Source organism: Homo sapiens, chromosome 19 (genome assembly GCF_000001405.40).
Source record: "Homo sapiens chromosome 19, GRCh38.p14 Primary Assembly".
Classification (NCBI taxonomy): Eukaryota; Metazoa; Chordata; class Mammalia; order Primates; family Hominidae; genus Homo; species Homo sapiens.
The window spans coordinates 16,899,733-16,923,646 of NC_000019.10; the positions used below are offsets into that span (position 1 = coordinate 16,899,733).

Here is a 23,914-nt window from a genome sequence, read left to right on the forward strand (position 1 = left end):
GGATGGCTATCCCCGCTGGGAGCACCTGCCTCGCCTCCCTATACACTCCCTCAACCCAGCCCCAAGCCCAGGTCAGGCTTCTCCGTGGCCAAAGAGGTGCCCGGCTGAGCCCTGCCGCCTGCTGGTGTCTCAGCTGCACTGTTCAAGTTCCCCTCCCAGCCTGGGATTTTTTTTTTTTTTTCAGTTTTTGATTTAAAAAAATCCACACCCACTCCAAGGCCTCTGAATTGACCACATCCTCATCCCCTGGTGCTCCGTGCAGCCTCCTTGGAGGGGAGGTGACAATAGGCCCAGCTTTCCTGTTCCACCCTCCCCACACTGCAGACCTCCTTTGGTCCCTGAAACCCTCGCTTCTTGGTCCTCTTTCTCCCCCAGCCAGAGCCGGGCAGCAATCCCCACCCCCATGTCCCTCTTCCTTCCTGTACAAAATGGGGACATGGCACTGGTCTGTCTTAGGGTTGTGAGGGTGACAGCTGGTCTCGGCAGAATGTGGATTGAGAATACCCCATGGCTCCCCACCCAGGGCCAAAGCACATGGAACTTTGCTGAAGTTCTAGGTGGCATTTATAATAGTGTGACAGTGGGCCCGGTGCTGTGGCTCACATCTGTAATCCCAGCACTTTGGAAGGCTGAGGTGGGCTGATCACCCGAGGTCAGGAGTTTGAGACCAGCCTGACCAACATGGAGAAACTCCATCTCTACTCAATACAAAAAAATTAGCTGGGCGTGGTGGTGCATGCCTGTAATCCCAGCTACTTAGGAGACTGAGGCAGGAGAATTGCTTGAACCGGGGAGGTGGAGGTTGCAGTGAGCTGAGATTGTGCCATTGCACAGCCTGGGCAACAAGAGCAAAACTCCATCTCAAATAATAATAATAATAATAATAGTGACAGTGGCCGCATGGGAGATCCACCTGTTGGAGCAGCCCCCACCTCACCCCATCTACTCCTCAGTAGACAGATGGGCCATTTTTGCCCAGAAAGGGGAGGAAAAAAGGGGCTGGGCATAGTGGCTCATGTCTGTAACCCCAGCACTTTGTGAGGCTGAGGCGGGAGGATTGCTTGAGCCCAGGAGTTTGAGACCAGCCTGGGCAACATGGCGAAACCCTGTCTCTGCCACAAATACAAAAATTAGCAGGGCATGGTAGTGCATGCTTGTAGTCCCAGCTACTCGGGAGGCTGAGGTGGGAGGATTACTTGAGCCTGGAAGTTCAAGGCTCCACTGGGAATTTGAGCCAAGATCAGATCATTACACTGTAGCCTGGGCAACAGAGCAAGACTATGTCAAAAAAAAGAAAGAGAAACAGGGTAAAAGGGGAGGGGGAGGGGAAGGGGGAGGGGGAGAGGGAGAGGGAAGAAAAGAATACCCATAGCATTTTACAAAGGTCTGGACTGCCAGCCAGCCTGACCCTGGGTGCCTAAGCCCTACCTATTGTTCAGAGATCCCTGCCCACCGCTGCTCACCGGCGCTGCCTCACCTGCTCCAGGCTCTCGATGTCTGCCCGGAAGCCTGACAGCAGGGGCACCTCCAGGACAGCCATATTGGAAGACCCTGCATGCAGCCACCTTCCAACAACAGGGGAGAGAGAGAGGCCCTAGAGCTCAAGCCCAGAGGTGGAATTCAAGGTCCCCTCTCCCCCTGGAGCCCACACAGCTGATGTCCCAGGAAGCCTGCCCTGGGGCCTGGCCGGCAGGCCAACAGCACACACATCCTTGGCTCGGTCAACTCAGTCAACCTATTTTACAGCAGGGACACTGAGACCAGAGGGAAAGGGCCTTGCCAAGGGCTCTAGGCCTGACCAGGTCTCTTGACTAAGCATTGTGTTCTGTCCTGGACTTCACTCTGTGTCCCCAGCCTGGGAAGCAGCTGGCGACCCCACTCTGGACATGGTTGCACAGAGCAGCCACAGCTCAGGTGCTTCAACACTGCCACCCTGCAGGAGACTCTGGGAAATCAACCCCCTAGCTCCGGCCTCAGTTTCTCCTTCTGTAACATGGTGGGGCGGGGAGGGAGGTAACTGGGCACTCTCTGGAGCCTGCAATATGCCAGGCGCTTCCTATAGGGCGTTGGGGACAAGGAAGAGGAAGCCAACATTCAGAGTGGAGCTTGCAGCTGCGGGGAGTGCACCAAGCTGGACTCTGATTTCCAGAACTTTCTGAGATGGGGAACTTGGACACATTCGGGCTGAGAGTCAAGGTCAGGGCAGCCGTTACCGGGGTAGCGGCTCTGATGGGCTGCGAGTGTCATGGCAACCACTCACCCACCAATCGTCGCCATGGTGACAAGCATCCATCACCATGGCAACAAACATCTTCTTAGGGTGAGGGCCCGCTGCGGCCGGGTCCCAGGCTCACTCTTGGAAACCAAGGGGTCTGGTGCTGGTGTTATCGGGCAGGGACCAGTGTCCCAGCCACACATCGCTGTCCCCATCCAGCCCACCCGCCCCGACCATACTGGAGTCTTCTGTGTCCATTTGCTTTTCTTTCATTCATTTCAAAAACTGGCTGGGCGAGGTGGCTCACACCTGTAATCCCAGCACTTTGGGGGGCTGAGGCGGGCAGATCACGAGGTCAGGAGTTCGAGACCAGCCTGGCCAACATGGTGAAACCCTGTATCTACTAAAAAGACAAAAAAGTTAGTTGGGCATGATGGCGGGCACCTGTAGTCCCAGCTACTCGGGAGGCTGAGACAGGAGAACCATTTGAACCCAGGAGGCAGAGGTTGCAGTGAGCCGAGATCGCACCATTGCACTCCAGCCTGGGCGACAGGGTGAGACTCTGTCTCAAAAAAACAAAACAAAACAAAAACCACCACTGAGTGCCTGGAGCCGGAAGCTCCTCCTGGTCCCAGGAGGCCATCCTCTCCGCACATTGCACCCTCCTGGGATGCCCACGCCAGCAGGGCAGGTGGCCTTACCTGGTGCACACCTCCAGCATCACCTTGTATTCCTGGTGATGCTGATCGGCCGCTGGGTCATCATCGTCAGCTGGGGGCCAGTCTCCTCGGGAACCCTCAGCTGCGGAGGCAGGCATGGGGGGCGGGCGTCCCTGGGCCTCAGGCTCCTGGAGGCTTACGAGCAGCTGGAAAGCTGGCTTGGCCACCGGGTCAGGCACATTGTAGGTGACATCAATCTGGGGGGTGTTGGAGGATGGAGGCTTAGGGACCTGGGCCCTCCATAACAGGTGCAGGGTAGGGGAGGAGAAGGGCAGTGGGGAGGTGGGAACAGCCAGAATTATGAGGACAATGACATCCATGACAGTTTTAGAGACTACCGTTATTCGTTTTAGCCTTGAAATCACTGAAGCGGGTGTAGGTACAATCATCAGACCAGTTTTATGGATCTGGGGTGCAGAGCTGTGCTCAGCTATGTCTGAGTCTAGGGGTCTCCCTCTCATCCACAGTGTTATCTGAGCTCCCATTTTAGAGATCAGAAAACGGAGGCTAGCGAGAGTCATCGCGGGAAACTTGCCCTCTGACTGCCAGTCAGAACCCGTGACATGCACCTGCCCCAGCCTGGTCTGGGGCTAAATCCAGGCCACAGCAGGGGGAATGACCTCGAGCCCTTAGGCAAATCTGCTTGAGTCAATGGGTCAGAGATCCCTGGACTGAGGGTCAAATGGACCCTCTCAGGTGTGGGGGTGGCACACCTGAGAGGACCCATGGCCACCTGCCTTGGGCAGTATTAGAAGGCTGAAAACCTGTCCTGCAGTCTGGCATGCTGCTGAGTTCAGAACCCTCTGGGGGTCCCTGGGGTTCCACTGTGTGATTGGAGGGAATGGGGCACAGGAGGACAAGCCCAAGATCACCTCGTGCTCCCCAAAACCTCACCTGCATCAGGCAGCAGCCGTCCCCCTTGGCACTCACAAACAGCCCCGTGGGGAGGCTGGGGATCTGGAGACAGAAGTCACCGTGAGGCCCTGCTGACCCCTCCTCCAACAACCCCCAAACCCTCATCCCAGGAACACGCACCGCTGCTGTCTGCAGAACCTTCTGGTTGGTCCTGTGCAGCTCGAAGGTTTCCTGGTAGTCCAGGTTGGTGGAGGCCAGGGAGACAGTGAGGTTGATGCCTCCAGCATAGGACAAGATGGCATATTCAGCCAAGGCCTGCAGAGCCACGCAGGTGTCCTGGGGATGGAGGAGGAGACGGCCATCAACCCTGAGACTGAGTTGGCCAGTGGTCCCCTGAACCCCGTCTTGGAAGCCTAGCCTAAAACAGGCACCAACGGGGCTGGAATAGAGACTGGACCCAGTGCAGACACCCATGGCACTGGGGGCCTCAGGACAGCCAGGTTGGTGTGTCCCCAGAGGCAGAGGCTGGGCTCCCATGGGGGATCCAGGGGCATCTGTCCCTCACCCCCAACCCCTGCCCTCTTTGGGGCTCCATAAGGTGAGAAGGGGCCAGACTGCCTGGCCACCTCAGAGCTCAAAACAAGGACTGCAGGGACCCCACCCACCCAGCCCTGAGCCCCTCCCTCTGGCCCTGCCCGGCTCGCCTGAGTGGAGGAGAAGCCCCCAAGTGCATTTCGCTGCTGGGACAGCCACTTCACCACAGGCAGGGCGGCAGCCACGTCACCCAGCAGAGTGTAGGTCAGAAGGGCGTAGGCTGTCATTTCCACCTCGGCCGAGACCACTGCAATGGAAGAGGCCCACTGGGGACTTTTGACACAGGGACATGGACCCAGTGCATGGAGGTATGGCCAAGGCAGGCACCCGGGAGCTGGGGTGGCCAGTACCTGACTGAGAGACCCTGTCACTGAAGCTCAAGAATGTGCCCTTGTCCACGTCCCAGGAATTTGACAGGCTCCAGTGGGTGACCCCATCTGCAAGGAAAGGAGTGGTCAAGAGCTATAACCCACCCAGTGTGTAGCCTGGCATCCCATGGAGCGCATCCAAGCATGGGGTCTAAAGAAAAGGTATTGTGGGACCCCAGTGGGAGAAGAGTATCAGGGGAAGACAGCTGGAACAGGAAGGGCCTTGGGGCTCCATCTCAGATCTGCAAACCTATGGCAGCCCCAGCCCTTCCTGTGCCCCTGGCAGACATCGTGAATCAATGGCTACCCAACCTTACCCCTGGCAGACATCACTAATCAAAGGCCACCTTCCCCTTCCTGGACACAGACATCACTAGTCAATAGCCTCCCTCCTGACCAGGTACTGATCCAGCCCCTGATGTTCCTACTTAGTGCCCAAGCAGCCACACTCGACTTGCAAAGGCTCAAAGATTCTGGCCAGGCACAGTGGCTCACGCCTGTAATCCGAGCACTTTGGGAGGCTGAGGTGAGTGGCTCATTTGAGGTCAGGAGTTCAAGACCAGCCTGGCCAACATGGTGAAATCCCATCTCTACTAAAAATACAAAAATTAGCTGTGTGTGGTGGTGCACACCTGTAATCCTAGCTACTCAGGAGGCTGAGGCAGGAGAATTGCTTGAACCCAGAAGGCAGAGGTTGCAGTGAGCCAATACCGAGCCACTGCACTCCACACTCCAGCCTGGGTGACAGAGTGAGACTGTCTCAATAAATAAATAAATACATAAATAAAAATAATAATAATAATTTAAAAAGAATGGCAAGGCACGGTGGCTCATGCCTGTAATCCCAGCACTTTGGGAGGCTGAGGCAGGCGGATCACCTGAGGTCAGGAGTTCGAGACCAGCCTGACTAACATGGAGAAACTCATCTCTACTAAAAAATACAAAAAATTAGCTGGGCATGGTGGTGCATGCCTGTAATCCTGGCTACTTGGGAGGCTGAGTTAGGAGATCACGCCATTGCACTCCAGCCTGGGCAACAAGAGCGAAACTCCGTTTCAAAAAAAAAAAAAAAAAAAGGAAGAAAAGAAAAAAAAAAAAAAAAAGAAAAAGGCTCCAAGGATTCTGAGCTCGCATGAGGTGTAAAGACTCTCAAATCCAGAGAGAAACCAGCCCACCACCACCACCTCCCACTCCATCCCTGGATCCTCTTTAAACTTTTTTCTTTCGGAAGCAATGAAAACAATTCTTCAGGTGGCATCTTAATGCTTAAGCAGAGAAACCTGTCTGAGCCCCAGTGCAGCTGCTGGGGGTAGGGGTGGAGTGGGGAGGTCTGGGTGAAGTAGGAGGAGACTAAGTTTGGGGGCATTCTGAGAAAGTCAAAGCTCAGGGATTGGAGTCCCAGTGGGGTGATGATTTTGTAGGTGGGGAGACTGACAGCTCAAAAAAGCTTTCCAGGGCTCACTCAGCAAGTGGAGGGAAGGGTGGAAGCGAGACCCAACCCTCCCCTGTCTCCCAGCACCCCTGTCCTGGGATGATTTCCAGGAAGCCTGGCCGGAGGCGGGGGATGCGTTCTCTGCTGGGGATCCCTCTCTGAGAACTCCCCTTCCAGAGGGGTTGGCATCCCAGATTTCACAGGCAAGGAAAGTGATGCTTGGGGCTGGTGTGACTTGGACAAGCCACTTCCTCAAATAAAGTCACTAGCAGATGCGATAATGAATGAATACTATAATCAACAAAGCAATTGACAAGCAAAAGGCATCTCGTCAGTTTCCCTTTCTCCTTCCTTCCTTCCTTTCTTCCTCTCCCTCCCTCCCTCCCTCTCTCTCTTCTCTCCCTCCTTCCTTCCTTCTTTCCCTTTCTTTCTTTCTTTCTTTCTTTCTTTCTTTCTTTCTTTCTTTCTTTCTTTCTTTCTTTCTTTCTTTCTTTCCTTCCTTCCTTCCTTCCTTCCTTCCTTCTTTTCTTTCTCTTTCTTTCTAATGGCATTATCTCAGCTCACTGCAACCTCTGCCTCCTGGGTTCAAGTGATTCTTGTGCCTCAGCCTCCCGAGTAGCTGGGGTTATAGGCACCTGCCACCACACCCAGCTAATTTTTGTATTTTTAGGAGAGACGGGGTTTCACCATATTGGCCCGGCTGGTCTCGAACTCCTGGCCTCAAGTGATCTGCCCAAAGTGCTGGAATTACAGGCGTGAGCCACCGCGCCTGGTCGACTCATCAGTTTTTTGTTTTGTTTTGTTTTGTTTTTGAGACGGAGTCTTGCTCTGTTACCCAGGCTGGAGTGCAATGGCGCGATCTCTGCTCACTGCAATCTCCGCCTCCCGGGTTCAAGCGATTCTCCTGCCTCAGCCTCCTGAGTAGCTGGGACTACATGACTCGTCAGTTGTGATAAATATGTTCATGAGTTGTTTACCAGACTCCACAGTGGGCTTCCCGACGCTGTGGCCTCTGGGGAGGGCCAGGGACACCTACCTCGCATGATGGCCAGGCTACGGAGCTTGCGCAGTGCCTCAGGGGCTGCCGGGCTGCGGAGCAGGGTCAGCGCGTAGGTAGTCAGGGCACAGCTATAAGGGTCCATGGCCAGGGGCGCAGCAGACTCCAGGAAGTGCCTCGCTTTGTCAGTGGAGCCTCTCTCCTCCTGCAGGGTGGGGTGGGAAGGTGAAACCTGGGAGGCTGCTCTGCCCCCATCCCACCCACCCACTGGCTTCTGAGGCATCCCCGAGGAGAGCTCTGGGTGACTCCTAGCCCCTTGCTTTGCATCCTTCTGTGGCTCTCACTGCCTGCAGACCCAATTTTCAAACCCCATCTCCTTTCTTTTCTTTCTTGCCTTTTTTTTTTTTTTTTTTTTTTGGTAATAGGCTGGGCGCAATGTAATCCCAGCACTTTGGGAGGCCAAGGTGGGTGGATCACCTGAGGTCAGGAGTTTGAGACCACCCTGGCCAACATGGTGAAACCCCATCTCTACTAAAAATACAAAAATTAGCTGGGCATGGTGGCACATGCCTTTAATCCCAGCTACTTGGGAGGCTGAGGTAGGAGAACTGCTTGAACCAGGGAGTTGGAGGTTGCAGTGAGCCAATATCGCGCCACTGCACTCCAGCCTGGCAACAGAGTGAGGCTCCGTCTCAAAAAAAAAAAAAAAAATACAGACAGCATCTTACTCTGTTGCCCAGGCTGGAGTGCAGTGGCACGATCATAGCTCACTGAAACCTTCACTTCCTGGGCTTAAGCGATCCTCCCGCCTTGACCTCCCCAGTAACTGGGACTACAGGTGCACACCAGCACGCCCAGCTAACATTTTATTTTTTGTAGAGATGGAGTCTCACTATGTTGCCCAGGCTGGTCACACATTCTTGGGCTCAAGCGAGCCTCCCACCTTGGCTTCCCAAAGAGCTGGGATTACAGGAGTGAGCCACTGCCCCTGGCTCCCATTACCATTCTTGTAAGTTGGCACTCCTTTTTCCAAATGAGGTCTGGCCAGGATGCCCAAGTGCATGGCAAATGAGCACAGTGATACTCTAGGGGAAGCAGGCAGAGTCCTGGCCACCCTGTCCCACCCAGCCCCATGGCCAGGTCTTTGTTAAGACAGCTAGCTAAGGCCAGGTACAGTGGCTCATGCCTGTAATCCCAGCACTTTGGGAGGCCGAGGTGGGCAGATCACTTGAGGTCAGGAGTTCAAGACCAGCCTGGCCAACATGGTGAAATTCCATCTCTATTAAAAATACAAAAATTAGCCAGGCGTGGTGGTGGGCGCCTATAATCCAAGCTATTCAGAAGGCTGAGGCAGGCACAAGAATCCCTTGAACCCGAGAGGCAGAGGTTGCAGTGAGCCGAGATTGCACCACCGCACTCCAGCCTGGGCAACAGAGTGAGACCTCATCTTAAAAAAAAAAAAAATAATAGAAATAAAAAGCTGGCTCCTAAGACCTCCACAGCCCAGGCCCTCCCCAGCCTCCAGGCCTGGTCACCTCCTTAGAGAAGCCCACCAGCCCTGCTCATGCCCTCCCTAGAATGTGATCTGTTGGAAGACAGGGACCAAGTCCAGAATCTACTGATGGTTTTGGTTCAGAGAAGCTGCCCAATAATATTATGTGGAAGAAATGAGTGACCAGAAGCATTAACAAATTTAGCAATGGAACCAGAGTCTTCTGGTGGCCCAATAGAGGTATGGAGTTGAGCTAACTCTGCTTTCGGAACTGTCCTGGTCATAGAAAGAATGTTTCCAAAGCTTTCCATCCTTAGACCAGGACAAACGTGGGAACTGTCCCTAAGGTGTGACATTGAGATGCCCTTTGGGAGGCATGTGCCAGGGATGAACCCGGCTGACTAGCCAGACCCTAGGACTGGCCCTCACAAGTCCATTGCCTGGGGGTGGGGGAAGGTTGGACATCCCCATCCCAGGGGCAGGAACAGTGACATGGGAGTTACCCCAGGTCACGCGGGCCAGGACGGGTCTCAAGGACGCTGCGGAGACCACACCAAGCAGGGATGGACCCAGCCCGGCCCCAGCTGTGCAGATCCTCCCGTTTACAGACAAGCGGATGCAACGGAACTCCAAGGGGTCAAGGTCATTTGCTGGTTGCCCCCCAGCTCATCTGATTCCAGCACAGGTGTAGCGGGTTGAACGGTGGCCCACCAAAAAGATATATTCCCTGGGACCTGTAAATGCTGACTTATTTAGGAAATGGGTCTTTGCAGATGTAATTAAGAGTCTTGAGATGAGATCACCTTGGATTAAGGTGGCCTCAAATCCAATGACAAATATCTTTAAAAAATTTTTTTTGGCTGGGCACGGTGGCTCACGCCTGTAATCCCAGCACTTTGTGAGGCCGAGGCAGGTGGATCATGAGATCAGGAGATCGAGACCATCCTGGCTAACATGGTGAAACCCCATCTCTACTAAAAATACAAAAAATTAGCTGGGCGTGGTGGCGAGCGCCTGTAGATCCAGCTACTCAGGAGGCTGAGGTGGAAGAATGGCATGAACCTGGGAGGCGGAGCTTGCAATGAGCCGAGATCGCGCCACTGTACTCCAGCCTGGGCAACAGAGCGAGACTCCATCTCAAAAAGGGAAAACAAACAAACAAACAAACCCATCTCTACTAAAAATACAAAAATAGCCAGGCATGGTGGCCCATGCCTGTAATCCCAGCTACTTGGGAGGCTGAGGCAGGAGAATCCTTGAACCCGGGAGGCAGAGGTTGCAGTGAACTGAGATCGCTCCATTGCACTCCAGCCTAGGCAATAAGAGCGAAACTTCGTCTCAAAAAAAAAAAATTTGTATTAGAGACAGAGGTTTCACTGTTACTCAGTGTTACTCAGGCTGGAGTGTAGTGGCTATTCATAGGCACAATCCCACTGCTGATCGGCACGGGAGTTTTTGTTTGTTTTTAAAACAATCTCATACTGTCACCCAGGCTGGAGTGCAGTGGTGCAATCTTAACTCACTGCAACCTCCACCTTCCAGGTTCAAGCGATTCTCCTGCCTCAGCCTCCCGAGTAGCTGGGATTACAGGCACGTGCCATGGTGCCTGGCTGATTTTTGTACTTTTAGTAGAGATAAGCTTTTGCCATATTGGCCAGGCTGGTCTCGGACTCCTGGACCCATGTGATCCACCTGCCTCAGCCTCCCAAAGTGCTGAGATTATAGGCATGAGCCACTGTGCTTGGCGTCCAATGACAAGAACCTTTAACTTTTTTTTTTTTTGAGATGGAGTTTCACTCTTGTTGCCCATGCTGGAGTGCAATGGCGTGATCTCAGCTCACCGCAATCTCCGCCTCCCAGGTTCAAGCGATTCTTCTGCCTCAGCCTCCCGAGTAGCTGGGATTACAGGCATGCGCCATCACACCCAGCTAATTTTTGTATTTTCAGTAGAGACGGGGATTCTCCATGTTGGTCAGGCTGGTCTCGAACTCCCAACCTCAGGTGATCTGCCCGCCTCAGCCTCCCAAAGAGCTGGGATTACAGGCAGGAGCCACTGGGCCCGCCTTTTTTTTTTTTTTTTAAATTAGTGACAGGTCTCACTATGTTGCCCAGGCTGGAGTGCAGTGGCTATTCATACGCACGATCTCCCTACTGATCAGCACAGGAGTTTTGACCTGCTCCATTTCTGACCTGGGCCAGTTCATCCCTCTTTGGACAACTTGGTCATCCTGCTCTCAAGAGGTCACCATATTGATGCTGAACTTAGTGCAGACACTTGATTGGTGCAGTGCACTACAGCCCAGAACTCCTGGGTCAAGCAATCCTCCTGCCTCAGCCTCCCGAGTAGCTGGGACTACAGGAATGCCCTGCTGCACATGGCAACAAGTGTTGTTTAAGAGACGAGAAGGGGAGAAGACAGAGGAGAAGGTCACACGCAGACAAAGGCAGGGGCTAGAGTGATGCAGCCACAAGCCAAAGAATGCCTGGGGTCCCTGGAAGCTGGAGGCAGCAAAGAAAGCTCTTCCCTTAGAGCCTGCAGAGGGAGCAAGGGCCTGCCAATGCCTTGATTTTGCACTTCTGGTCTCCAAAGCAATGAGAATGTATTTCTGTTGTTTTAAGCCACCCAGTTTGTGGCAATTTGTTATGGCAGCCACAGGAAATGAAGACAGCAGGTTTTGCCTCCTTTGGGGAACGATCTAAGACAGGGGTCCCCAACCTCCGGGTCACAGACTGGTACCGGTTGGTGGCCTGTTAGGAAGGGGCTGCACAGCAGGAGGTGAGTGACAGGTGAGCCAGCAAAGCTTCATCTGTATTTACAGCCACTCCCTATCGCTTGTATTACCACCTGAGCTCCACCTCCCATCGGACCATCAGCAGCATTAGATTCTCGTGGGAGCATGAACCCTATTGTGAACTGTGAGCATGTGAGGCATTTGCTGGCAGACTCCTTTTTTTTTTGTTCTTTTTTTTTTTTTGAGACAGAGTCTGGCTTGGTTGCCCAGGCTGGAGTGCAGTGGCACGAGCTTGGCTCACTGCAACCTCTGCCTCCCAGGTTCAAGCGATTCTCCTGCCTCAGCCTCCCAAGTAGCTGGGACTTCAGGCATGCGCCACCACACAAGCTAATTTTTGTATTTTTATTTTTATTTTATTTTATTTTTTGAGACAGAGTCTGGCACTCTTGCCCGGGCTGGAGTGCAGTGGCACCATCTCGGCTCACGGCAAGCTCTGCCTCCCAGGTTCACGCCATTCTCCTGCCTCAGCCTCCCGAGTAGCTGGGACTACAGGCGCCTGCCACCATGCCCGGCTAATTTTTTGTATTTTTAGTAGAGACGGGGTTTCACCAGATTAGCCAGGATGGTCTCGATCTCCTGACCTTGTGATCCACCGCCTCAGCCTCCCAAAGTGCTGGGATTACAGGCGTGAGCCACCACACCCAGACAGTTTTTGTATTTTTAGTAGAGACAGGGTTTCATCATGTTGGCCAGGCTGGTCTCAAACTCCTGACTTCAAGTGATCTGCCTGCCTTGGCCTCCCAAAGTGCTGAGATTACAGGTGTGAACCACTGCACCCAGCTGGTTGCACACTCCTTATGAGAATCTAAAGCCTAATGATCTGTCACTGTCTCCCATCACTCCCAGAAAGGACAGTCTAGTTGCAGGAAAACAAGCTCAGGCTCCCACTGATTCTATATTATGGTGAGTTGTATAATTATTTCATTATATATTATAATGTAATAATAATAGAAATAAAGTGCACAATAAATGTAATGCTCTTGAATCTCCCAAAACTACCCCCTCTTCCCCAGTCCATGGAACAATTGTCTTCCACAAAACTGGTCCCTTGTGCCAAAAAGGTTGGATACTGCTGATCTAAGAGACCAGAACTCAGAAGACCAGGGAGAAACAACTGCTGCCCTGCAGGGCAGGCCTTCAGGTTCAGAAGAGAAATAGGTTGGAAGGCTATGGAGAAGGCAGAAAAAGATTCTTGGGAGAAGTGAAGTGACCTCAAGGGATAGGAAGGAGGTAGAGGGCCTGTTGAGTGTTCACTGAAGACATAAGGGAGGGCCAGGCATGGTGGCTTATGCCTGTAATCCCAGTACTTTGGGAGGCCAAGGCAGGAGGATCACCTGAGGTCAGGAGTTTGAGACCAGCCTGGCCAACATGGTGGAACCTGGTCTCTACTAAAAATACGAAAATTAGCCGGATGCAGTGGCACATGCCTGTAGTCCCAGCTACTCGGGAGTCTGAAGCTGCCATGCCATGGATCCCACCCTGCAAGGGGACTCACAGCCCTCACCCCAAGCCAAAGAGAATCACTTGAACCCAGGAGGCGGAGGTTGCAGTGAGCTGAAAAAAAAAAGTCTCACCTCAAGATATGTGTCATAAAAGTGTACATATCTTGTTGTCCATAGTGATATGGACAATGAGAAGATTGGAAAGCTTCCAGAGGAGAGAACAAACGAGATACAAAGGATAGTACTCAGAATGACATCCGACTTCTCAGTGGAACACAGGAAACTAGAAGATGATAGAACATCATCAATTATTCTACAGGAAAACAATTTCCAACCTGGAATTCTATACCCAGCCCAGCTATCATACAGGGCCAGAATAAGAATATTTGCAGACATGCAACGTCTCAAAAAATGTGCCTCCCAAAACCCTTTCTCAGTAAAGGAGGGTAGCAATTGTGCAGCATCCTGGGTGCTGTCCATTCCAACTCGAGTGGGGGCCAAGGGCTCTGGCAGGGAAGTTTCCAGAAAAATGCATTTGGGAGGTGACATATTTGACCACTTCCATGGGAGATGTGGAGGAGGACTTCTGAGGTATGAGGGGGTGTCATGGAATACGTGTGATCTTCCTCAGAATCCATATGTTGAAGCTCTAACTCCTAATATGATGGTATTAGGAGTTGGGGACCTTTGAGAGATAATTAGGTTTAGACTGAGGTCACGAGGATGGGGCCTCCAAAATAATAGGATTAGTGTCCTTATATGAAGAGGAAGAGCACTAGAGCTCTCTCTCCACATGCACACACTAGGGAAACGCCATGTGAACATACAGTGAGAAGGTGGCAGTCAACAAATCAGGAAGAGAGCCCTCACCAAGAACCAAATCTGCCTGTGCCTTGGTCTTGGACTTCCCATCCTCTAGAACTGTGCAAAATAAATGCCTATTGTTGAAGCCACTTACTCCATGGTATTTTGTTTCTGCAGCCCAAGCTAAGACAGGGCATTAGGAATTCAGCATAAGAATTTGGTCAGGGGAGAACCAATTCAGCCCATAACACAAGGCAAGGGGCCCTCTGGACATTGTGCATGGTGGGGGCGGTCTTAGGTCACAGCAAACTGTAGACCCACTAGTTGTCTGGATTGTGAGACCAAGAATCCTGAGAAGTGCCCAAACTCATAATTTATCATGAGAGATTGTAGAATTGATGTAGGTATTAGGGAGGGCAGATTCTTCTCACCCAGGGCTGAGATCCATCGTGGAAGCCTTCTCTGCAGAGACTGTGCCATCCCCCACCCCAGGAAAGCCTCATAGAAGAGACTATGGCCCTCAAGTCTCTTGGGCCATCTAAGCCCCATCCAGTACCAACTGTCTCTGAATATCCTAACCCCTTTCCCTGCAAAAACATGCATGAGCCCAACATTTTGTAGGGTTCCCTGAAGCCAACCCTTGGGTCACTGGCCAGGAACCTGAACTAGCCTGAAATGATTCTCTGAAGGAGGTCTAGGGGCTGTGGACAGTCATGGGAGGCTCTGTACTCAGGGCACCTCCCCAGCCCCCAACATGTGCCCAATTTCCCCCTAGTAGCATGGGAATCTCTCTCTCCTCTGCTCAGATTACAAGAAACTGGATGTAATGTGACCATTGTTGATGAAAAGCATGAAAAAGCCTCGATAATGAGCAGAAGGAGGGCAGGGAGGAAGAAATCACCCCTGGCATAAAGGAGGGAACCTTCCATTTGCTCCTCCAGTGCCCAGCCCCGAGTCTCCCCAAACCCCTTCTGTACTCACCTCTGAGGCTGTGCCTGTTTCCAGGAGAGCAACCACCACGTAGGCTGTCAGCGGGACAGTGCCGTGGATCCCACCCTGCAAGGGGACTCACAGGCCTCACCCTAAGCCAAAGGAGACAGTCCACTTCCCCCCACTTCCCCCAGGCAGCTCCAGGGAGTAGGAACAGGCAGGTCAGGGCTGGGGCTCTGGGAGGAGGTGAGGGGCCCGGGAAGGAGGCTCAAGGGGCCACTCACCTGGATGTCCTTGTTCAGGACCCTGCCCACGGCCAGGAAGGAGCCATCGGCCTGCTGCTGCTGGATGATCCAGCTCTTGGCGGCAGCCAGCTCCCGGGGGTCCACGAAGATAAAGCTGCGAGCCTGTGCGAAGGACTTCAGGACAAAGGCTGTGAGCCTGAAAGAGGACAGGGTGTCAGCTGAGGGGTTGCAGAATGGTCAGCCCCCACATGCTGGCTGAGGGATTGCAGCAAGCTCCTGGCACCACCCCCGGCCTCCATTTCCTCATCTATAAGATGGGAGGGGTCCCATCTGTCCCCACAGGGCTGTCAGAGTGGAGGAGGGGGCACATTGCCCAGCACCCAGTGGGGCTTGAAGACGGAGCTCTCTCCTTCCTACCTGGACCTCTACCCTAGTGGCATTCAGGTCTGCTCCTTGCTCGGCACTCAAGGCCCTTCTGTGAGCTGGTCTAGCCCTGCCTGTCCTGCCATGTGAGGAAGACCCTTCTGGTTGCCGACCTCACAGCCATTTCTTGCTTGGTCCTTGCCAAAAGGCCCCTGATCTCATTCAGGGGCCAGCAGCCATGTGCCCTGGAGATCTGTGCTTCTCTGTGGTCCCAGCCAGCCAGTCATGGGCATTCCAGTTTCTGAGCCTGGGAATGGCTTTGGAATGGGCATGTGATGCAATGCTGGGAGCAGCTGCAGCCATTTTGCCACCATGAGGGGTGCAGCCATGTGCCAAGGGAGGGAATACCCAGGGATGGAAGGAAAAAAACGAGCCCCAGTGCACTATGGGGCTGCTGAATTAGCCAACCATAGCACCTCCCCAGCCCTGCAGTGTGAGCTGATGTTCAGAATTGCTCTCCAGCCCGTTTTCTGTTGTTTTCAGCCAAAAACATCTCTGTTATGTGGCCTGTCCCTCATCCACCCCATCTCCCTTGCCCTGCTTTTGCAGGTGCCACCCTGAGTAAGAGCTGGCAAGGCCAGGGAATGAATGCATGAACAAATGAAGGAGAGAAGCACAGGATGGAAGCCAGGAGGCCATGAGGGATGAAAACCAAAATTGTCAGGAGAGGAAACTTCGCAAATTCAGGATCAATGAATAAGCTGTCTTCAAAATCAAGTGGCTCTAGGCTCTTTATATGAACCACAAAAATGGGATGCATTAGCCTGCCCGCCTGCCCGCCTGCCTGCCTTCCTTCCTTCCTTCCTTCCCTCCCTCCCTCTTCCTTTCTTCTTTCTCTCTTTTCTTTCTTTTTCTTTCTTTCTTTCTCTTTCTCTCTCTCCTTCCTTTTTCTCTCTCTCTTTTCTTTCCTACTTTTCTTTCTTGATTTTCTTTCTTCTCTCTCTCTCCCTCCCTCCCTTCCTCTCTCTCTCTCTCTTGCTTTCTTGCTTTTCAAGACAGGGTCTTGCTCTGTCACCCAGGCTGGAGTGCAGTGGTGCAGTCCTAACTCACTGTAGCCTACAACTCCCAGCTCAAGCGATTCTCCCACTTCAGCCTCCCAAGTAGCTGGGACTACAGGGACGTGCCACGACATCCAGCGAATTTTTAAATTCTTTATAGAGATGAGGTCTTACTATGTTGCCCAGGCAGGTCTCGAACTCCTGGGCTCCAGTGATCCTCCCACAATGGCCTCCCAAAGTGGTGGGATTATAGGCATAAGCCACCATGCTCACTGCAGCCTCTGCCTCTCAGGGTCAAGCAATTCTCGTGCCTCAGCCTCCTGAGTAGCTGGGATTACAGCCTCCCGAGTAGCTGGGATTGCCACCATGCCCAGCTAATATTTTTGTATTTTTAGTAGAGACGGGGTTTCACCATGCTGGCCAGACTGATCTCAAACTCCTGACCTCAAGTGATCCTCCCACCTTGGCTTCCCAAAGTGCTGGGATTCAGGAGTTCAAGACCAGCCTGACTGACATGGCGAAACCCCATCTCCACTAAAAATAAAAAAAAATTAGCCAGGCGTGGTGGCGGGCACCTGTAATCCCAGCTACTCGGGAGGCTGAGGCAAGAGAATTGCTTGACCTCAGGAGGCGGAGGTTGCAGTGACCTGAGATCGCACCACTGCACTCTAGCCTGGGTGTCAAAATGAGACCCTGTCTCAGACAAAAAAGAATAAATAAATAAATAGATAAAATAAAATAAAATATACCCAAAGCTCATCCAGGCCGTTCTCCCTCTCAGGTACCTCAAATGCATCCTCTTCTTTCTATTCCCATGTTCCCTGGATTAGCCAGGAGACCCCATGGCTCCCAGGCTCATCCCCACCCCATTACCAGCTATGCACACTGCAACCAGGGGGAAACTCCATGCATTTTGGGCACGGCAGGGAAAGGAGGCAAGGACAGAACCAAGCCAGCTGTGTGCTGGGAATTGTGGAATTCCCATGGTCTAGCATACTGTGCTCTCTACTTTCCCACTGTAAAACGCAAACAGGATAAATGTTATCAAGTGATAAAAAGAAATGAGCTCTCAGCCGGATTCAGTGGCCCATACTTGTAATCCTAACACCTTGGGAGGCTGAGGCAGGAGGATCAGTTGAGGCCAGGAGTTTGAAACCAGCCTGGGCAACATAGTGAGACCCTGTTATTCATAAACAAACACACAAATAAATAAAAAATGAGTGTGTGAGTGAACTCTAATGTAGATTATGAACCTTAGTTCATAACGTTTTGATGCCGGTCCATCAATTGTAACAAATACAGCACACTAATACAAGATGCCTATCACATGGGAAGCTGTGTATGGGGGTGTAGAGGTGTATGGGAACTCTGTTCTATTTACTCAATTTTTCTGGAAACCTAGAACTCTTCTAAAAAGTAAGATCTATGGCCGGGCGAGGTGGCTCATGCCAGCAGTGTTTGGGAGGCAGAGGTGGAGGATCGGCTGAGGCCAGGAGCTTGAGACCAGCCTGGGCAACACAGCAACACCTGGTCTCTACTGAAATTCAAAAAAATTAGCTGGGCATGGTAGTGCATGCCTGTGGTCCCAGCTGCTTGCGGGGCTGAGGCGGAAAAATTGCTTGAGCCCAGAAAATCAAGGCTGCTGTGAGCCCTGATTGTGCCACCGCACTCTAGCCTGGGAAACAGAGCGAGATCTTGTCTCAAAAAAAATTAGTTAAAATAAATAATAAAAAGTAAAGTCTAATGACTATCTGTTATCTGAAATGCTTGGAACCAGAAGTGTTTCAGATTTTGAATTTGGATTTTGGAATATTTGCATTTACGGGAATCTCTTGGTATCTGTAGGGGACTGGTTCCAGGACCCCCAAGGATACCGAAATCCACTGATGCTCAAGTCCCCGATATACGAGTGTGTAGTAGTTGCATATAACCGACACATATCCTCCCGTGAACTTTATTTTTTATTTTTATTTTTGAGACACAGTCTCACCCTGTTGCCCAGGCTGGAGTGCAGTGGCACAATCTCGGCTCACTGCAATCTCTGCCTCCAGGTTCAAGCAATTCTCCTGCCTCAGCCTCCCGAGTAGCTGGGACTACAGACGCCCACCACCATGCCCAGCTAATTTTAGTATTTTGAGTAGAGACGGGGTTTCGCCATGTTGGCCAGGCTGGTCTCGAACTCCTGACCTCAGGTGATCCGCCTACCTTGGCCTCCCAAAGTGCTGGGATTCCAAGCGTGAGCCACAGCGCCCGGCCCCTCCTGTGTACTTTAAAGCATGTCTTGATTACTTAGAACACCTAATACAATGCCCACATGTCACTTCATTTGCATGAATTCAATATTGTACTCAGCATGCAGCAAATTCAACTTTTCGTTTTTGGAACTTTGTGGAATTTTTAAAACTTTTTTTTTTTTTTTTTTTTTAAGAGATGGAGTTTTGCTCTGTCACCCAGGCTGGAGTGCAGTGGCACAATCATAGCTCACTGCAGCCTTGAACTTCTGGGCTCAAGGGATCCTCCCACCTCAGCCTCCCCAGTAGTTGGGACTAAGGCATGTACCACCACGCCCAGCTTATTTTTAACATTTTTGCCGAGATGAGGTCTTGCCATGTTTCTCAGGCTGGTCTCCGACTCCTGGCCTCAAACAATCTTCCCGATTCAGCTTCCCCAAAGTGCAGGGATGACAGGCACGTGCCATCACACCCAGACTTTTTTTTTTTTTTTTTTTTCTGAATAGTTTCGATCTGTAGTTGATTGAATCCTGTGGAACTCACAGATACGGAGGGCTACCTGTATACTTGGGCATCCCAAATGCAAAAAATCTGAAATGCTCCAATGAACATTTCCCTTGAGCATGAGGTTGGCACTAAAAGCATCTTGGAGCCCAGGCACGGTGGCTCACACCTGTAATCTCAGCACTTTGGGAGGCTGAGGTGGGCAGATCACCTGAGGTCAGGAATTCGAGACCAGCCTGGGCAACATGGTGAAATCCTGTCTCTATTAAAAATACAAAAATTAGCCAGGCATGGTGGCAGGTGCCTATAGTCCCAGCTACTCAGGAGGCTGAGGCAGGAGAATTGCTTGAACCCAGGAGGTGGAGGTTGCAGTGAGCCGAGATTATACCACTGAACTCCAGCTTGGGTGATAGGGTGAGACCCCATCTCAAAAAAAGAAAAAAAAAAAGGAATAGAATAGAATGAGGCAGAAGTAACAGCCTGACTTGTAAGACCAAGTAACAAAAGGCGCTATGGCATCCTTCCCGCTTTCTCTCTTGAATTGCTCACTGTGAGAGGAAGCCAGCCGCCATGTTGTAAGAACACTCAAGTAGTCCCTATGGAGAAGTCCATGTGGTGAGCAACTGAGGCCTCCTGCCAACAGCCATGTGAGGGAGCCAATTTGGAAACAAATCTTCCAGCCCCAGTAGAGCCTTCAGATGAAGACAGCAACAGCCAACACCTTGACTGCAACCTCAGCAAAGATCCCCAGGCAGAAACACCCAGCTAAGCTGCTCCTGAATTCCTGATCCATAAGAATTAATACATAATAAATAGAGATAATACGTTTGTTGTTTTAAATGGCTACATTTGGGGTCACTTGTTACACAGCAGTGGATAACTATTGCATCTCTCACAGGGTCTTTCTCCTGCACTGGGCAGCGAGGACCTGGAGGTAGGAACCATGTGTTCCTTTTTCCCCCAGGATGAAGACCAGAGCCTAGCTCACTCAATGAATAAATGAATGAATGTGCGTTGAGTATAAGGGAACCCATCTAGAACAGATCCCAAGTTTTCAGGCTCCCTGGCAGGATCTTGGAGCCTTATGGTAAGTAGTTAGGGGAGGTGCTAACAGGACGGCACTGCACTGAGTGTACCACATGCTTATCCCATGGATCCAGGTTCTTAGAGGGATGTGTGGTAAGGAAACAGGCTCAGAGAGGTTGATCATCGGGTCTAAGGCCACACAGCTCACATGAGACAGAGCTGAGGTTTGTCCAGCTTCGGGGTGGGTGCTGCTGCCACTGCCCTGCGCTCACTGCCTCCTTGTCCTACAGGGTCCCCAGGAAGACGTCCATGTTTGGAGACCAACAGGAATGTTTCAGGAGGTGAGAGGGGACCTGGAAGCTGCTGACTTCCATGCACACAGTGAAATTTGATTTTTCAGCCATGCGCGGTGGCTCACGCCTGTAATCCCAGCACTTTGGGAGGCCGAGGCGGGCGGATCACAAGGTCAGAAGATCGAGACCATCCTGGCTAACACGGTGAAACCCCGTCTCTATTAAAAATACAAAAAAAGTAGCCAGGCGTGGTGGCGGGCGCCTGTATTCCCAGCTACTCGGGAGGCTGAGGCAGGAGAATGGCGTGAACCCAGGGGGCGGAGCTTGCAGTGTGCCGAGATGGCGCCACTGCACTCCAGCCTGGGTGACAGAGCGAGACTCCGTCTCAAAAAAAACAAAAAGGAAATTTGATTTTTCTTGCTCATGCTGAGAGTTTAATCCCCGGAAGATGCTGAGGAGGTGTGTGCACACTGAGTGTCTAGGCCGGGCACGGTGGCTCACGCCTGTAATCCCAGCACTTTAGGAGGCCAAGGCAGGCGGATCATCTGAGGTCAGGAGTTTGAGACCAGCCTGGCCAACATGGTGAAACCCCGTCCCTACTAAAAATACAAAAATTAGCTGGGCATGATGGTGCACACCTGTAATCCTAGCTACTCAGGAGGCTGAGGCAGGAGAATTGCTTGAACCTAGGAGATGGAGGTTGCAGTGACCCAAGATTGCACCACTGCACTCCAGCCTGGGGAACAGAGTTAGACTCTATCTCAAAAAAAAAAAAAAAAAAAAAAAAGGTCCAATGCGTCACAACTTGCTAATCCTGGCTGGTGGAGGCCTCCTAGGGGCTGCTGGGGCTCAGCCAGCTTTTGGAGAGTGACTCAGTGGCTTTAGCTGTCCCTGGGGTGGGCGGGGCCTCTGCTTGCTAAGACGTGATTGGGGCCTTGCGTTATCAGCTGTCGGCAAGGCAGGGCCCTGGGACTAGAGCTGGGACAGTGTGGATGAGCTCCTGGGGCTGGGGGAGGCTGGGTGAGTCGCCAACCCTGGGCCCCTCTGGAGCTAGGTAAGTGATGCTGCCCATGGCAGGAAGTACTCAGCCACATGTCCCCACTCCCTGGGATCCTGGCACTGTGACTGTGCAGTGGACACTCTGTTGGACTAAAGACAGGGCAGTTTCCACGCTCACAGCTGCTGTCGGCACTACCAGGGTGGCAATCTCCGAGAAGGAGTCCGGCGATGGGTACAGGAGTTGGAAAGTGACTCACAGTCTCAGGTGAACCCCATGATGATGCCAAGAACTGCAATAGCCTGAGGATATCAGGAAAACAAGACCCAGGTGTGCCCGGCCTCCCAGGGGCCCTCCCTGCCCTGGTCTCCTCCCTGCAGTTACCACAGAAACAAGATCCCAGGCTGCTCCTGCACACAGCACACCCCAGCCTCAAGGTGCTGGTCTGGCCTCTGACCCCTCTGCCCTGCCATCTCCTCCTGCTCCAGTCACCGCTATTCCTGAGTCCTGGGAGCTTGAGGAAGCCCAGGGCATCCAGGGCTCACTCCCAAGGGGCCAGAGAGCAGGGCATGGAGTCTTGCTCACTGTGGTAACAGCAGCAGAAACAGGAATGGTTACGATCACCAGCTCTGCACTGGCCCCAAGCCCCAACCTCCATCTCTGGAGCTGGGACCACCACAGTCTTTACTTCCCAGCTGTGTTCCCTGTCATCCGGGGATCAGGCGCCAAGTGATCTGGTCACACTGCATTGGATGTGAGGCCATGGCGTCGGGCGGGGAGCCTCAGAGGCAATGCCCAGGGCGGTGGGGACTCACCACATGCTCCCCGATGCGTCCCGCTCCCCAAACGCGCTGTAGGAGCCATCCTGGCGCTTGTAGGTCAGCTGGCGCTGGTAGCCTGTGGGGCAAGCAGAGAGGACCCTGTCCTGTTGAGTGGCCTGGCCCAGGCCCGCCCCCAGGGACCTACACCACTCTGCCGTCCCCTACCCCGGATCTCCGAAGCCACACCACATGTGGGGTCCCTGGAATTGCCTCGAATCACATCTGGAGTCCTTGAAACTGCCATACACTCACATCTGGGGTCCCTGAAACTGCCCCATACCACATGTGGGGTTCTTGAAACTGCTTTATACCACATTTGGAGTCCCTAAAACTGCTCCACACCACATCTGGGCTCACTGAAACTGCCCTGTGTCACATCTGGGGTCCCTGAAACTGCCCCACACCACATCTGGGGTTCTTGAAACTGCCTCATACTACATCTGGAGTCCCTGGAACCGCAGCGCACCACATCTGGGGTCCCTGAAACTGCCCCACATCACATCTAGGGTTCTTGAAACTGTCTCATTCCACATCTGGAGTCCCTGGAACTGCTCCACACCACACCTGGGGTCCCTGAAACTGCCCCACACTACATCTGGGGTCCCTGAAACTGCTCCACACCACATCTGGGGTTCTTGAAACTGCCCCATACCCACAGCACATCTGGGGTCCCCGAAACTGCTCCACATCACATCTAGAGTTCTTGAAACTGCCTCATACCACATGTGGAGTCCCTGGAACTGCTCCACACTACATCTGAGGTCCCTGGAACTGCCCCACACCACATCTGGGGTCTCTGAAACTGCTCCACACATCTGGGGTTCCTGAAACTGCTCCACACCACATCTGGGGTCCTTGAAACTACCCTATACCACATTGGGGGTCCCTGAAACTGCTCCACATCACATCGGGGATCCCTGGAACTACCTCACACCACATCTGAGGTCCTTGAAACTGCCCCACACTACATCTAGGGTGGCTGTAACCTCCAACTCATTCATCTTGTTTACTGACATTGCCCCTTCGTGACTACTGGTCACACACTGGCCTTCGGTCACTCCCAGGAGGTCAGCAAAACCACCATCTTGGGGCAGCGCCCTCTGTCCCCCACAGCCCTCTGTCCCCAGGCGTGGGGGCTGCTCCAACTGCTGGGGCGAGAGCTTGGGAAGCTCAGAGAACTGGTGGTGCCGGGGACAGGGAACGGAGCAGGGAACGAGGGGGTGAGGTGAGAGGCCGGTGGGCCACAGGGCCTCCAAGGCTGGGCTGGGAGTGTGGTTTTCCTGCAAGGGCATAGGGAGCCATGGGTGGCGTGTGAGTAGGAGAAGAGTGTGAGGAGACATATAGAGCCAGTGGACCGTAGGGTCTGGACAGAAAGCTGGGGACGGGGAACCCTCCCAGTGTGCAATGATGAGTTTGGACCCAGTGGCGGCGACAGAGGTGGGGAGCCTTCCTGGGGTGAAGGCAGAGCTACTCAGCCAGACACAGCCTGTGAGGGAAAGAAGGACGAATCTGAGGGCACCACTGTGTGTGGTCTGAGCCTCAGGAAGGACAGGGCTGTGTCCACAGAGACAGGACCGGTGACCAAAGAAATTCTGTACTGGGTGGGTCCTCCCAAATTCACATCCACTTGGAACCCAAAAATGGGACCTTACTGGAAATAAAAGATCTTTACAGATGTCATTAAGGTTAGGATCTCCAGATGAGAGCATCTTGGATTTATTTAGGATGGGCCCTAA

At 52.7% G+C, this 23,914-nt stretch overlaps 1 protein-coding gene and 2 pseudogenes across 14 annotated transcripts in view; 1 reads left to right on the forward strand and 2 right to left on the reverse strand.

Annotated features, from left to right (window-relative positions):
- The window catches only part of CPAMD8 (C3 and PZP like alpha-2-macroglobulin domain containing 8), a 133,860-nt gene that overhangs the window by 6,782 nt on the left and 103,164 nt on the right, over positions 1-23,914 (reverse strand). For all 14 annotated transcript variants that reach the window (XM_011527917.2, XM_047438612.1, XM_011527922.2 and 11 more), the window contains 10 exons: positions 22,173-22,254; positions 14,925-15,081; positions 14,692-14,766; positions 7,220-7,385; positions 4,734-4,820; positions 4,494-4,630; positions 3,970-4,125; positions 3,829-3,891; positions 2,917-3,131; positions 1,478-1,565 (listed from right to left, as the gene is read on the reverse strand). In XM_011527917.2, the coding sequence (XP_011526219.1) occupies positions 1,478-1,565; positions 2,917-3,131; positions 3,829-3,891; positions 3,970-4,125; positions 4,494-4,630; positions 4,734-4,820; positions 7,220-7,385; positions 14,692-14,766; positions 14,925-15,081; positions 22,173-22,254 (1,226 nt within the window). The remainder of the gene's footprint in view (positions 1-1,477; positions 1,566-2,916; positions 3,132-3,828; positions 3,892-3,969; positions 4,126-4,493; positions 4,631-4,733; positions 4,821-7,219; positions 7,386-14,691; positions 14,767-14,924; positions 15,082-22,172; positions 22,255-23,914) is intronic.
- Positions 7,730-7,991, forward strand: RN7SL835P (RNA, 7SL, cytoplasmic 835, pseudogene; annotated as a pseudogene).
- On the reverse strand, positions 10,765-11,052 carry RN7SL823P (RNA, 7SL, cytoplasmic 823, pseudogene; annotated as a pseudogene).